The sequence below is a fragment of the Homo sapiens genome, chromosome 17 (genome assembly GCF_000001405.40).
Source record: "Homo sapiens chromosome 17, GRCh38.p14 Primary Assembly".
Lineage (NCBI taxonomy): Eukaryota > Metazoa > Chordata > Mammalia > Primates > Hominidae > Homo > Homo sapiens.
Window position 1 is genome coordinate 64,497,386 of NC_000017.11, and position 12,593 is coordinate 64,509,978.

The following is a 12,593-nucleotide window of genomic DNA, read 5'->3' on the forward strand; positions in this document are numbered from 1 at the left end:
CTTGGACTAAATTTGGCATTTGGTTTCCCTTTAAACAGTTTTAGTCCTTTACGGTGATTTGTAAGCCCAGGCCTTCTTAACTAGGCAAATGCTGCCGCCAGGTGGCCTAGGCCTAACCCCAGAGCCGTTGTCTTGACGCTTAAGCTTCCGGGGAGGGGGGCGATAGGCTTCGTGACTAGGGTAGTGGTATGGTCACTTTAAATATTGCAGTGGCTTCCAAAGGGCAGTCCCCAGCCAGCAGCATCTGCCTCACCTGGGAATGCACTAGAAATAAACCAAGGGGCCCTGACATGTCTTAAACCCTCCTGGTGTCAGAGAAAACCACGTACGTGCAATTTCTTCCAGGGGCCCCTTCTATGGGTTCATCAAAACAATGAGACTTGTGACTGTTATTATTAAGAGACTCATGATTAAATTGCAGGTTTCTGATTTTGCAGTTTCTATTTAAATAGGTCGAGACCTTAAGACCTACCCAGAAAGTGGAAAAGTGGTATACCCAGACTGAGGAAGTTTGATTCCAAAGTCCATGATTTCTTATACCAGCCTCAGTTACGAAAACCTTTAAAGAGGTTCAGGGAAAAAGGAACAATCTACATTTCACTGTGAGACTACCAAACTACTACCTGATTAAGAGGGGTAACAGCTTAGCAATTGAGTTAATGTAATTCAGGAGTAAAGTTTTATCATTAGTAAAGTGCTGTACCAGGTTCAGGAAATAGTTCTTCTTTACAAGTGTATACAAGGGTTTAAAAAAAGGCCAGCTAGATAGTAATTAACTGCAAAGCTGGGTACTACTGCCAGGTGTTTTCCACATTCAGGAACTCACACCAGGTAAAAGGCCTATACGCAAATAAATAAAAAGAGAGAATGGGGAGAAAAATCACATTTATTAGTTAAGACGACCACAGGCTGGACACAACACACATGCTAAAAAGTGGACTGTCTTTTAAAACTTCCAAGGTAAATAGGTAAATGTTTTCCACAGCCCAACAATCATTTCAGTGTTTACAAATTAAAAGGCCCACGGTTAAGACATTAAACAGTAAAATATGTAATAAATGCTCCAACCTACCCTCTCCCCCGAAAGCTGCTTCTAAGTTTAAAACCATGAATTTGACTAACCATGCCATTGAAAACCATCCAGGTTACTACAGGCTGAATTAGTTTTCAATGTCTAAGTCCTAGAAATATCACTCCCTATCCCAGCCCTAGCAAATTCTAACTTTACATTTGACATAAGGCATTAACATCAATTAAAGCCTCAGTTTAATAATCAGAATTTAAATGAAGTCTCCTGAAGACCTCTCTTCTGGCAAAAAAAAACACGTATCAGACTCTGGGAAAACATTCAGACCCACTTCTAGCTATTACTGAAATAAATGATTAGAAAGTTACGTTGGTGAGCCGAAGTTAAACCTAAAGCTATCCCCTGGATCTTTCTAGCAATAAACCCATGTTGAACCTACCATGAAAACTTTCATTCACTGTGCTTTTGGTTACGTTGCCTCCTGATTAGTCATTAATTTTAATGAGGTTTTTTCCTTGTGTTGAGTATGAATAGACCTTACAGTTTGAGGATCTCTAGAATTCCCTGAATTATTGGAAAGACATTCATGACTCCCAGTGTGACTAGTTAAGAGCCCCAGGGAGCCTGTGAAGACTAGAATCTACAAGTAACCTGCACTAAGAACGAAATTCAGTAAAGGAGACTCAAGCTTAGCTCCTGGCCATCTTAAAGGGCTAATGTATGTCTTTCACAGGTTTGTTCAACATTTCAGTAATTCACAGTATAGCCAAGAGCATGAGTATAAGTCTCTTGAAAAAGCCAGTTATTTGGAGCTTTTTAAATTATAAACTTTGAAAAAGTCACCCACGTTCTCACACTATATAGATGACTTTGTATCTATTTTACTATTTTCTCATTTAACCATACTAGCAAATAAGGAAAAAGGCTATTAAATGACTCCCCTGATGCTGGAAGCTGACAAAGCTTTTATGCAATTTAGCCTGTAACTAAAAATTCACCTGTATCAATTCATTCTGACTCCTGCAATATGAATAGCTCATTATAAAGAAGGGCCTTCTGATTCCCCCTGCCTCCCAAATTAAATAAAAAGGAACAGTCATTTGTTTTCATGGAAAAAAAAAACCAAACAAAAACAAAAAAAAAACCAGACCATCTTAAGCAAAGTTTTACATGACATTATATAAAATAAAGTACAATTTCCACTTAATTCAGTCTTCAAATATTTTTTATTGGAAGGCCATGCATTGCCTTCATTTATTGTATTTCAAATCACTGTACATTTACTTTTGTGAAAACACTGCCTGCATTTTCTAGTACAAAAAAAACCTAAAAATTGTTTCAGGAATGTAGAGAAATATCCAACTTAAATAGCGAAAAAGTGCACCATAATTACTGCTGCACTGCAGTCATTTCTGCAATTCCCATGTTTCTTAAATAACTATCTTGTCAGATAACACACAATATAAAGAGCAATTATGAAAAACAGACATTTACATATACTTCTAAAGTCTTATTGGGAATATCCTGTTGGCATTGGATAACCAATCATAGGTGCAGCTGCAGTAGCAGGATATGCATATGCCTGTTGGTTCATACCATTGTGCATATTTGGAACATTACTTCCGTATTGCTGAGTGCTATCATAACCATTCTGGTAAGTCCCTGTTGGATTACCAGTCCTAAAACTGGTCTGTATACCAGCAGACACAAAATTACTTCCAAAGCTCCCATTGGTGTAATTTGCAGCACTGTAAACACCATTCTGAGTTTTTGCCCCAAAATCTCTTTTAAGCAGGCTAGAGTAACCTCTGTCATAATTTTCCCTGTCTCTAAAGGTATTAAATCCACCCCTTTTGCCCGCAGAGTATCTGTCCCGACGGTCATCCTTCATGCCTCCTCTACCCCTGGAACGACCTGTCAAGAAAACAATTGCAAATTGATCAATTATGTCTATGACACAAATCATTGTGGACAGAAAGAAACAGATCTATTCATGGTAGGCGTGAAATGTTTTTACAATTTTTCAGCTTAAGTTTTCACATTCAAGGTTTTACTCACCCTCCAATACCATTTAAATGGATTTGTAGACAACGATGTGACTCGTAACTACCAACATTTCCTATCAGTCATCCTTACCTGAACCTCTGTCTTCGACCAACTGAAGCAACTTGGGATTAATTGCTTGATTAGCTTCACGAAGCACAGAGATAAGGTCGCTCACTTGCTTTATGTTATTAGGTGTAAAGAAAGTGTATGCTGTGCCTGTTTTGGTACTGCGAGCAGTTCTTCCAATTCGATGAATATAATCCTCTGAGGAGTTAGGGTAGTCATAATTGATGACAAATTTCACATCTTCCACATCTGTAAGGTGTTGCAGTGTGGCAAAATAGCAATGTACGGAGTTTTGCACACCACAACAGCCAGACCAAAAATAAAAAGTTAGACAATTGTATTCCCAAGAAGGTACGGGCTGCAAAAAATACAGTTAAAATGGTTATCCATTTCCTGTAGGAATACCATTGAGGTTGAAAAAAGAAAAAAAAGCACATGTCATCTGTATAATTCATCACCCACCCAGTGACAGACCCTGTCAAAAGGAATGTGTGTTCCCTAAGCACATTCCCAAATCAGCAAGTTCCCTTACAGATCATCAAGTGACATCTGAATGCTTCTGCGCAGTAGGGCCACTTAAAGTTTCACAGCAACCTCTTCATGTGCTCATTTTGAGGACCTTGAAACAAAAAAATGTACAAGGTCCTTTGCATTACACATTCATCAGAAGTTCAAAATTCTGGCCACACTGCTTGTCTTGCCAAGACCTTACAACCGCAGCTGCAAGAAAACATACCTGTCCCCCAAAAGTTGTTTTTATGCACTGTGTCTCGTCTAGGCAAGCGCTTCCAAGAAGCCAGGATTCACTTGAGAATGTGTCTCTCTCTGGCAGGTCTCGACATGACGACTACTGTGTAGGTGAGGGAGGAACTTTCAAAGCACTTTCTTTTCCCACTTACTATGTGTGAGAAGTTGCTCCTGCTCTAGATCTCATGTGCCAGTACTCACCAATTTGTAAAAGGCTTAGTACCTTTTAAAGCTGCTCTCTCCATTTCAAACTTGAACAAAAATTTCATTGAACATTGAAGTTTGGAACTACTTCTTCGACATTTCAGCAAACTCACTGAAACTCAAAGACCCACAGATCACAGTGAACAGTTTGAAACAAGGCTGTACCATGGCAGTCATGCAAAGCATGGGACAGAAGAAATACCACGGCAGTGAACTGTGAGGATAACTTCCATTTTTTCCCTCGGAGAGAACAGTTTACGGGGCAGAGGTGATATGTTCTGCCTTTTGAAGATTACTGGCACACGTTCAGCTTTTTCACCTCTCTAATCGACTGGAAGCAGCCAGCCGATCACTAGTCCTCCATCCCCCTCGAGTCCTCCGATTGTCATGCCTAGGCCTTGCCACAAAGACAGCACCTTTATGTGAAAAAAAACTTAGAAAAAATGCAGGTTAAAGAAAGCAATAAACTTTCTTTAAAAAAGTTAAATGGAGATCTTCTGGGAAACCAAGCCATGAATGCGAGTTTGTACTAACCTAGCCCTCTGGAGGCCACATCTGTAGCAATCAGAATAGGAGCTTTTCCATGTTTGAATTCTACAAAGGAAGGCATATACATGATCAATTATCTGAGCAGAATTCTAGCTAGGTTAAGTAAGGGGGAAAAATACTTCATTTGAAATATTTACCATTTAGAACCCAGTCACGCTCTTGTTGACTCTTGTCACCATGGATACCCATGGCAGGCCACCTAAGTTAAAAGACAAGTTGTGTTATTAAACTCACATTGAAAACCTCAGACTCCAGTGCTTGACCACTTTTGGTCACAGATCTCTTTAATTTCGCCAGAAATGAAAAAGTTAAATTCACTATCAGATATGAAAAAAATCCACTGCTCGTGATCCAAGTTTGCCCTTTCCTAAGCTGTTTTAATCAATCTGCTTCAATGGAGGAGCTCACACATACCCATCTCTCCTCATTTTTCTGGTAAGCTCATCACATCTTCTTTTGGTTTCCACAAAAACAATGGTTTTATTCTCCTTCTCACTCATGATCTCTTCCATTAGACGAATAAGTCTAATAATAGGAGAGAGAAAGGAAAAATCCTGAGTTTTAAAAGACCATTGCTAGGGCCACACATTTATGGTCAGCAAAACATTAAGTTCAATTTACATGGCTGGAAGTCAAAGAGGAAACGCCTGCTAATCCACTTATCGAGCAGTTCGACCCTTGGTCCTTAAGTCAACCAGGGGACACATGAATTCCTTCTATAGGAAAGCTATAAATGGTGACAGCCATTATTTGAAGGATTCAAGAAATTTTCAGGATTAGTAGGCTAACTAAATGAAATCACACCAACTGAAATAACCTAAAACAACTCACCAAACAATGATCCCTCAATTTTACAGCAAAGTTGTTAGGAAGCAAATATAACAGAGTTAATAAAACTTACTTTTCATCCTTTTCTACGTCATGACACACATCCACAATCTGAAGAATGTTGTGGTTTGCACTCAGTTCAAGTGCACCAATGTTTATATGAATATAGTCTTTCAGGAAATCTTCAGCAAGCTGTCTTACTTCTTTTGGCCAAGTCGCACTCCACATTAGAGTTTGCCTATCAGGCTAATGGATTTTGGGGGGAAAAATTAGTATCAGACTCTTAAGAGTGAAAACACAATTCAGTTTGATCACATATTTCAAAGGACACTTACTCTTATTTGATCCACAATCTTCCTTATTTGGGGTTCAAAGCCCATATCAAGCATTCTATCTGCTTCATCAAGGACAAGGTAGGTTGTTCTTCTCAGATTGGTTTTTCCACACTCTAAAAAGTCAATCAGTCTTCCAGGTGTTGCAATACAGATTTCCACACCTTTAATTAAATACGTAAGTGTAACTACAATACCTAGGATATTTAGCACCAATGACAAATAAAACCCTTTTCATTACATACCTCTCTCCAAATCACGTATTTGTGGTCCCTTAGGAGCACCACCGTAGATACAAGTAGACTTCAAGCGACATGCTCTACAATATTCAGCAGCTACTTGCTGCACCTGTTGGGCCAGTTCCCGAGTTGGTGCCAGCACCAAACACTAAGGAAAGAGAAACAGCTTTCAGCACAAACCTGGATACTAGTTTTAAACTGCTAACTTATTATACTAGCAGATCCTTTCTTCATGTGTTGTCCAATACCCAAAACAGCTCCAGCTGAATAGGGTGAGCTAACCTCTATATAAAACCACCACAAATGATTACATCTTTAGCTATGTAGTCTAAAATCTACACATTATGCTTCTAATAAAAAGTTAAAAATATATACTTACAATAGGCCCATCGCCTCTCTCTAGGAATGGCTGATGATTGATGTGGACAATGGCAGGAAGCAAATACTATTTAGGGTGAAAGTGGGGACAAACAGAAATCACATTAAAATACTCGTTTTTAAATTACCATTACATTTTCTTGCATATATCAGATCAACTCAAGAGTTCTCCCAAACTTACAGACAATGTTTTCCCAGATCCAGTCTGTGCCACTCCAACCATATCCAATCCACTTAGAGCAACTGGCCATCCCTGAGCTTGAATAGCAGTGGGTTCAGTGAAATTCTGTCTTGCAATAACATCCATGACATTTGCTATAATTAGTAACAGATATTTAGTAAAAATTAGTGATGCCAAGAAAAAGAGGGGGTAGGTGGAAACAAAAACACGGGTAGGTAGAACTGAAAAGTAGCACTTACCAGGGAAATTGGCTTCATAAAAATTTAGAACTGGCTTCGGGCAGTTGTGACCTCTAACTGTAATTTCCTTGCTTCTTCTGTATGTTTCCACCTCTTGCTGCAAAACAAATTATAACAGTCTTAAAATTCATGACAACCACCCCTAGCTAAATACGTAATTGATAAGCCCCTAACTTCATAATTTAGTAACTAGTTTAAAGTAGCCTTCATTTTAATCTGGACCCACCTATGAACACCCTATTATGAAAAAAAAAATTTATTGTTATACTCAACCTAATTTAAGTAAAAATCCCAAAGCCACCTATATCCAAAAGTGAGTCACACCTTTCCCAATTATGAAGTCAGAACATGTAACTCTACCAAAATTGAGTTATTTGCAAAACACCTGTCAGAATTTCATTTACTAGAATCCACGATCGAGTTACAGCCTGATGAAGCCACATGAATTTACTCACTGCTGTGCGCCTAGCCAAATCAGGGTGCTCTTGATAAAAATTCTTCTCAAATTTAGGCAGCTCATCAAGATTCCACTTCTTTTTAACTAATTTCTCCCCAGGGTTTCCAAACTTCTTTCCAGATAAGGGCCCTGCCCTACTTCCTCCAAATCGAGGTGCACCAAACCTGGAATGAAAAAAAACGTTATTCACATTTTCAAATGGCTATACCCAGGTTTCTGTATAGATTTGTCATCCATTGGCACAAGCTAAAAACCACTGAAAACAGACTTCGAGAGGTAAACCTAGCACTGTCCTTCGTGAAAATCTCTCTCTCTCTCAACAGCCACAGTTAACATTTCCCGTAGTCCCAAGTACACATTACTTAGGTCATGTAAACAGCCTGGGATTTATCATGTCGGAAGCCGGGGATTTATCATGTCGGAAACTTGTCACCCACATGCCAGAATTTGGGATTCTGGCACACACCACTTCTTGTGGTTACTGTAATCTTCCCCACCAGCCTAGCAATTCACTATCAGCAATAACAAGGCTACATGAACCGAAGAGCATCACGACGATGTTACTCATATGGCCGTTTTGGAACCAAACAGCTTTAGTGGTAAGAACCTAAACAGTACAGTCAGCGATAACAGAACAAGGGTTTTCTCAGAAACACTTCTGCTAGCAAACCCAGCTGGGGGAACGCCGCGGTAGAGCTCCGGATCAACGAATCAAAATTATATAACGCAGGAAAAAAGAAAAGGAGGAGCCGGCGACTACCGGGGGAGGAGTCCCGGCCCGGGCGGAGTCGGCCGGGCGGCGTTCCCGCTGGGGCGGCGCTTCCCCCTTTGTCTCGCATTTCTCTCTGCGCCACATTTTCTCGACGCTGCCATTTTGAGCTCCTCCGCCGGGCGGGGTAACAAAGGCGCCGCCGCCATGTCCGAGGCCGGCATTTTGTACTCGCGACTCAGCCACATGGCTGATGCCGGCCGCCCTCCTACCCCAACAGCACCAGGGCTTTGGAAGTGGTCCCCTCGCTCCCACAGAATGCCCGGCCACCCCAAAAACACCTCCCGAAACGCCGCACCTAACAGATGTTCCTTCGTCTGCCTCGAAGCGTCCCGCTTTCATCCGCACAATACGCTCCCTCTCAACTCCCTCAACAGCTACCAAATGGCAGCCGCCCCGACAGCTCCCCAATCCCCACACAAAAAGCAAGCTTGAAGACACTACACCGTCAAATCTCTTCCAATCACTGTGACGTGAATATCAAAATGGCGCAAGCCTTCGGGAAAGGAAGTCCCAAGATAGCCCGGAAAGGCCAAGTCCAAGCCGCAAAGCCCCCGCCGGCCGCCACCCTGACCCGCCCTCCCATCCCCCCACCCGCCAGGCCTGACAGCTCGGCTCCCAAACTCACCCTCGGTCCCGGCCGCGGTCTCGGTCACTCGAATAACCCGACATGGCGTCAATGGTTGCGGTTGGCGGGGAACGAAGTATATAGAAAAGCGTGCGACAAGTCGCTGGAAATGGCCTCGATGACGGCGAAGCCTTGCGGGGGCGGCAGCGGAGGAAGGACACCGATGACACCAGCCGAAGCTGCACTACTAGAGACCGGTAGAAATGAATGAGGTGCCGGCCGCTTTCCGGCAGCCGCTTTTATAGTCTGGACCGCCTCCTACGCCGCAGGGAACGCTGGGAGCCGCTCTATGACCTAATCGCCCCGCCCCTCGCGCATAGGCCGCAACGCCCGCTGGCGTTCCAGGATCGCCGCGCTTTCACCCCTCCCCGCGCCACTCTCTCAGGTCAGGGCCCACCCACCATTGGAATGCCTCATTCTGCACTCTCTTGACCTCACCTTCTTCTGGTCTTTCCACACCTCAAGCAAGCCACCCCGCCCTTTCCCAAGCCCAGCCCCGCCCACCCTCGCCACTCGGAGATGTTTACGTCTCCAAAGAGCCCTCACGTCTGTAACCAAAAGAGGGGGAAGGCGGGGCCTGGCGTTGTCACGTGGCTGTACCACCCCGGACCACCGAGAGAGCGGTCCGCACTACTTTCCCGTTGACGTCGGCGGAGGGATACAAAACGAAATAGCTCACCGGAAGTGCGCTGCTCGCACCCCGGGACCCGCCCGGGCTGCCGGCTGATGTGGACCGTCCGACCCGCGTGTCTGATAATCCTTTGACGGGTTTTGGTCGGCGGAGAATGGTCTCTAAACTTCCCAAACCGCCCCCGTTTCACGTCCTGTGAAAGGAAGTGCTCCTCTGATGACCAATCAGCGGCGAGAAGCTCTTTTAACGTCCGTCCTTCTTTCACGCCTCCTTCCCCGCGCTTTGGTTCGTGCGTCCGCGCCCCAGTGTCGGGTCTGCGTGGATCGGTCCTTCCAGGACACCGTCGCCTTCCCGGCCGCGTCGGAGTCCGGCGGCGACCTGCCTCTGAAACATGGCAGGCTCGGATGCTGGTGAGTGTCTCCCTGGGGTCCCAGTATGTGTGGACTGAAACCGTCCACCTCCAGGGAGGCCTCGGGCTAGCCCGGACTGGGTCTGGGCTGTCGGCGGGGCTCGTGACCTTCAGACGCCGCGTCGCGCTGGCGGGTTCCCTGGATAGGGTCTCTCAGCTTCACCACCTCTTCGCTTCGAGGCCGTGGAACAGCAGTATGCTGTGGGAGAGAGAGAGGCACTGGGGCGAGGCCGGTAGGACACTTGGGTCCTGGCTGTAAAAAGAGCGGTCAGAAGGGTCGTCCCCGGACTTGTCTTTCTGTGGGGCGTCTAGCCGCTGTCCGTGTGCCCTCCGCCCTTGCACTATGGGCCCTGAGGTCGTACCTGCTTTTGTATTGGTCTTTAAAGGAACAGCATTCTTAAGATTTATTATGCCCCTGCAGAATAGTAGAATATGCCCCTGTAGAATAGTTGTGCTTTTTTCTCTTCAGTGCCCTCTAGAGTCATGGGCTTTGTCTAGCACCGCTTTTGAAGAGCGAATTAATTTGGTTGTCTAGGACGCTTTCATCCTTTTCACAAGGACTGCGTACAAACCAGTTGTCATGGTTTGGCCAGCTGTGAGAAATGGGCGTGGGGAGGGGGATTATGTGCATGGAAAATACACTCTCATTCGTTTCCAGAACGTTACGTGTCCAGAACATAGTGGAGATGTTTGTTTCTAATACCGATTGAAAGTGCTTTCCTACCAATTCCCAGGCATTTCAAGGAACAAGTATTTTAAGCTAAGTTACTTTTGGTACAGAAACCGTTAAACTTTGCAAATCCCAGCAATATCTAGGGGAGAGGAGAATGTGGTACGCAGGAAACGTCAACAGTATTGATAATTCTGAGCTTCATGTACTTCCCATATTTTCTTTCATATAGATCGATATAATAAAAAAGAAAAACTAACAAATGCATTACCGTTGATGTTGTTATTATACCAGTTCTTAACAGCCTAAGTTTAATCACCACTTTTTCCGGCACCAGAGAAACCCTGACTTGCACAAGATAATTGGGTAAACACAAGACCAATACTATTGCAAGTGCGAAGCAGCCTCCATTAATGAGTTTCTGGTAACCTCGGATTATCATTAAACTGTTGTTTATGACATAATATTCCTGTTTACTTGTAAATATGTTTTAACTAAAAACACCCATGTAAGGCTTATATAAGTAACTTAAGATTTTAGGCTGCAACAGTATCAATTGAATTTGCAGTATAGTTTTGACTATGTAGAAATTACAGCACTCTGGAAATCATCCCAAGAAATTAAATACATCTTTTTAAAAACCATGCCTAAAGGGTCTTTGAAATTCTCTAACAATCAAATTCCTTATCTTCTGCAAAGTTCAGTGTCTGTTTTTGTTGGGGGGGAGGTTGTTGGATTTTTTAAATGTCTGTGTGATTTTTTTCTGGTGGTTTTTAAGACTGATCTTTCCCCCTTTTTCCCAACAGAGTGGGTAACCATTGCCAATAACCTTCTTTTTAAGTGTCATATACATCTGAGAATACATGAACTTCAAGACTGTGATGCTAATGTTTTTATTGCTCTTTATCAGTCTATTTTGGGAGAAAAGGTACCAGGTAAGAATACTAAAAGCAGGAGTAATTTTGCCTATATCTTAGGCCAAAAGTTTTTAGTCCTTTAGTTAGATTCTTTGATATTTATAAAATTTCATTTTCTCTTTGCTTGTTTCTTTTTTTAATATTGCATATTAAATTCTATATTAATATACAATATTAAAATAAATATTGTATATTAAATTGTATTTAATATCACATATTGTATAATTATAATATTGTATTCCTTAAGGAATACCCTGTGGAACCCACTCATAATAACGGCCTTGAGCAGATCAGTTTGAGGGCTCCTGATAATCACGGCTTAACCTAATCATGGCTACTGCCTTGTGAAAGTTGCATCTTTTCTGTAAATGTACCTTCAAAGGTTGTAAAATTGAGTGGAGCTTGGGAATTTATTGGATTCTGTTACTTAACCAGTGCTAGGGATAAGAATTGATGCTTGTAGATGATGAACCTCATTTACCAAGACAGTTAATAAGCGCATATGTCCTTTCATCTTGCTCACCATCTCACTATGTTCAAGACCAGGGTGGTACCAACTCAGCTTAAGTGATCCTCCCGTCTACCTCCCAAAGTGATAGGATTACAGGCATGAGCCACCACGTCCAGCCTGTGCTGACCTTTTAAATCTTTATACCAATAATTCTAGTTGGCTATTCAAAAGGACATATAAGGGCCAGGCGCGGTGGCTCACACCTCTAATCCCATTACCTTGGGAGGCTCATCACTTGAGGCAGGTGGATCACCTGAGGCCAGGAGTTCAATACCAGCCTGGCCAATATGGCAAAATGCCATCTCTGCTAAAAATACAAAAATTAGCCAGGCATAGTGGTGCACGCCTATAAACCCAGCTACTTGGGAGGCTGAGGCAAGAGAATTGCTTGAGCCGGGAAAGTGGAGGTTGTAGTGAGCCAAGATCACGCCACTGCATTCCAGCCTGGGCGATAGAGCGAGACCCTGTCTCAATAAATAATAAATAAACATACATATGTGTATATATAAGAACGCTCCTTGAATGCCTGCTGTGTTTTTTTTTTCTTCGTAGAAAGTAGCCCATAGTTATGGGTTAAAGTATCATGTCTTGGCTCCCTTATTAGACTATTAGCTGTCTTTGAATTTAGGGACCACTTTATCTTCCTTAACATGGTGCTTCTTGTAAAGCATATTCATGTATATCTATATATCTATATATATATATATGGTGTAATAAATATTCAACCGTATTCAACCAGTCTAATATTGATAAATCGGTTCAATC

At 42.7% G+C, this 12,593-nt stretch overlaps 2 protein-coding genes and 2 non-coding genes across 17 annotated transcripts in view, besides 7 other annotated features; 1 reads left to right on the forward strand and 3 right to left on the reverse strand.

Annotated features, from left to right (window-relative positions):
- Positions 869 to 9,481, reverse strand: DDX5 (DEAD-box helicase 5). 5 transcript variants are annotated; one of them, NM_001320595.2, is made up of 14 exons: positions 9,370 to 9,481; positions 8,691 to 8,877; positions 7,292 to 7,457; positions 6,837 to 6,933; positions 6,598 to 6,731; positions 6,418 to 6,483; positions 6,045 to 6,186; positions 5,803 to 5,963; positions 5,541 to 5,713; positions 5,054 to 5,164; positions 4,777 to 4,838; positions 4,625 to 4,684; positions 3,164 to 3,388; positions 869 to 2,941 (listed from the first exon to the last, which is right to left on the reverse strand). In NM_001320595.2, the coding sequence occupies exons 2-14, from the start codon at positions 8,732 to 8,734 to the stop codon at positions 2,538 to 2,540; spliced, it is 1,845 nt and encodes a 614-aa protein (NP_001307524.1). In that variant the 5' UTR covers positions 8,735 to 8,877; positions 9,370 to 9,481; the 3' UTR covers positions 869 to 2,537. The 5 variants fall into 5 exon arrangements, with proteins under 5 accessions (NP_001307524.1, NP_001307525.1, XP_047291469.1 ...); NM_001320596.3 differs by lacking the exon at positions 9,370 to 9,481 and adding an exon at positions 9,129 to 9,253; XM_047435513.1 differs by lacking the exon at positions 3,164 to 3,388.
- On the reverse strand, positions 3,389 to 3,454 carry MIR3064 (microRNA 3064). Its single transcript, NR_039891.2, has one exon. It is a non-coding gene; the product is annotated as a microRNA 3064 (primary transcript).
- Positions 3,829 to 3,928, reverse strand: MIR5047 (microRNA 5047). The gene has a single exon (NR_039969.1). It is a non-coding gene; the product is annotated as a microRNA 5047 (primary transcript).
- Positions 7,995 to 8,064: a silencer, noted in NCBI's record as "silent region_8843". NCBI's record gives its function as "represses an Ori minimal core promoter by ATAC-STARR-seq in GM12878 lymphoblastoid cells {active_cell/tissue: GM12878}" and the evidence as "EXISTENCE:reporter gene assay evidence [ECO:0000049][PMID:35858748]".
- Positions 8,155 to 8,364: an enhancer, noted in NCBI's record as "active region_12595". NCBI's record gives its function as "activates an Ori minimal core promoter by ATAC-STARR-seq in GM12878 lymphoblastoid cells {active_cell/tissue: GM12878}" and the evidence as "EXISTENCE:reporter gene assay evidence [ECO:0000049][PMID:35858748]".
- Positions 8,425 to 8,554: an enhancer, noted in NCBI's record as "active region_12596". NCBI's record gives its function as "activates an Ori minimal core promoter by ATAC-STARR-seq in GM12878 lymphoblastoid cells {active_cell/tissue: GM12878}" and the evidence as "EXISTENCE:reporter gene assay evidence [ECO:0000049][PMID:35858748]".
- Positions 9,255 to 9,494: an enhancer, noted in NCBI's record as "active region_12597". NCBI's record gives its function as "activates an Ori minimal core promoter by ATAC-STARR-seq in GM12878 lymphoblastoid cells {active_cell/tissue: GM12878}" and the evidence as "EXISTENCE:reporter gene assay evidence [ECO:0000049][PMID:35858748]".
- The window catches only part of CEP95 (centrosomal protein 95), a 31,185-nt gene continuing 27,968 nt past the window's right edge, over positions 9,377 to 12,593 (forward strand). For 5 of the 10 annotated variants that reach the window (NR_133644.2, XM_005257779.4, NM_138363.3 and 2 more), the window contains exons 1-2: positions 9,592 to 9,731; positions 11,207 to 11,335. Coding sequence is in view for 7 of the 10 variants with exons in the window: in XM_005257779.4 (XP_005257836.1) it covers positions 9,713 to 9,731; positions 11,207 to 11,335 (148 nt within the window). In the remaining 3 variants the exon portion in view is untranslated. Of the gene's footprint in view, positions 11,336 to 12,593 lie in introns of all 10 variants that reach the window. The other 5 variants (XR_007065529.1, XM_047437012.1, XM_047437013.1 and 2 more) reach the window with 1 other exon arrangement.
- Positions 9,695 to 9,784: an enhancer, noted in NCBI's record as "active region_12598". NCBI's record gives its function as "activates an Ori minimal core promoter by ATAC-STARR-seq in GM12878 lymphoblastoid cells {active_cell/tissue: GM12878}" and the evidence as "EXISTENCE:reporter gene assay evidence [ECO:0000049][PMID:35858748]".
- Positions 9,766 to 10,382: an enhancer, noted in NCBI's record as "NANOG-H3K27ac-H3K4me1 hESC enhancer chr17:62503269-62503885 (GRCh37/hg19 assembly coordinates)". NCBI's record gives its function as "activates a minimal SCP1, AML or CMV promoter by ChIP-STARR-seq in primed H9 embryonic stem cells {active_cell/tissue: H9 hESC(primed)}" and the evidence as "EXISTENCE:reporter gene assay evidence [ECO:0000049][PMID:30033119]".
- Positions 10,095 to 10,204: an enhancer, noted in NCBI's record as "active region_12599". NCBI's record gives its function as "activates an Ori minimal core promoter by ATAC-STARR-seq in GM12878 lymphoblastoid cells {active_cell/tissue: GM12878}" and the evidence as "EXISTENCE:reporter gene assay evidence [ECO:0000049][PMID:35858748]".

Excerpts from the sequence above, each read along its gene's own strand:
- DDX5 (NM_001320595.2), bottom strand. The coding sequence starts at position 8,734 with ATGTCGGGTTATTCGAGTGACCGAGACCGCGGCCGGGACCGAGG. Across the intron at positions 5,964-6,044 it reads AATACGTGATTTGGAGAGAG|GTGTGGAAATCTGTATTGCA; the intron begins GTATGTAATGAA and ends ATTTAATTAAAG. Across the intron at positions 4,839-5,053 it reads AGAAAAATGAGGAGAGATGG|GTGGCCTGCCATGGGTATCC; the intron begins GTATGTGTGAGC and ends CTTTTAACTTAG.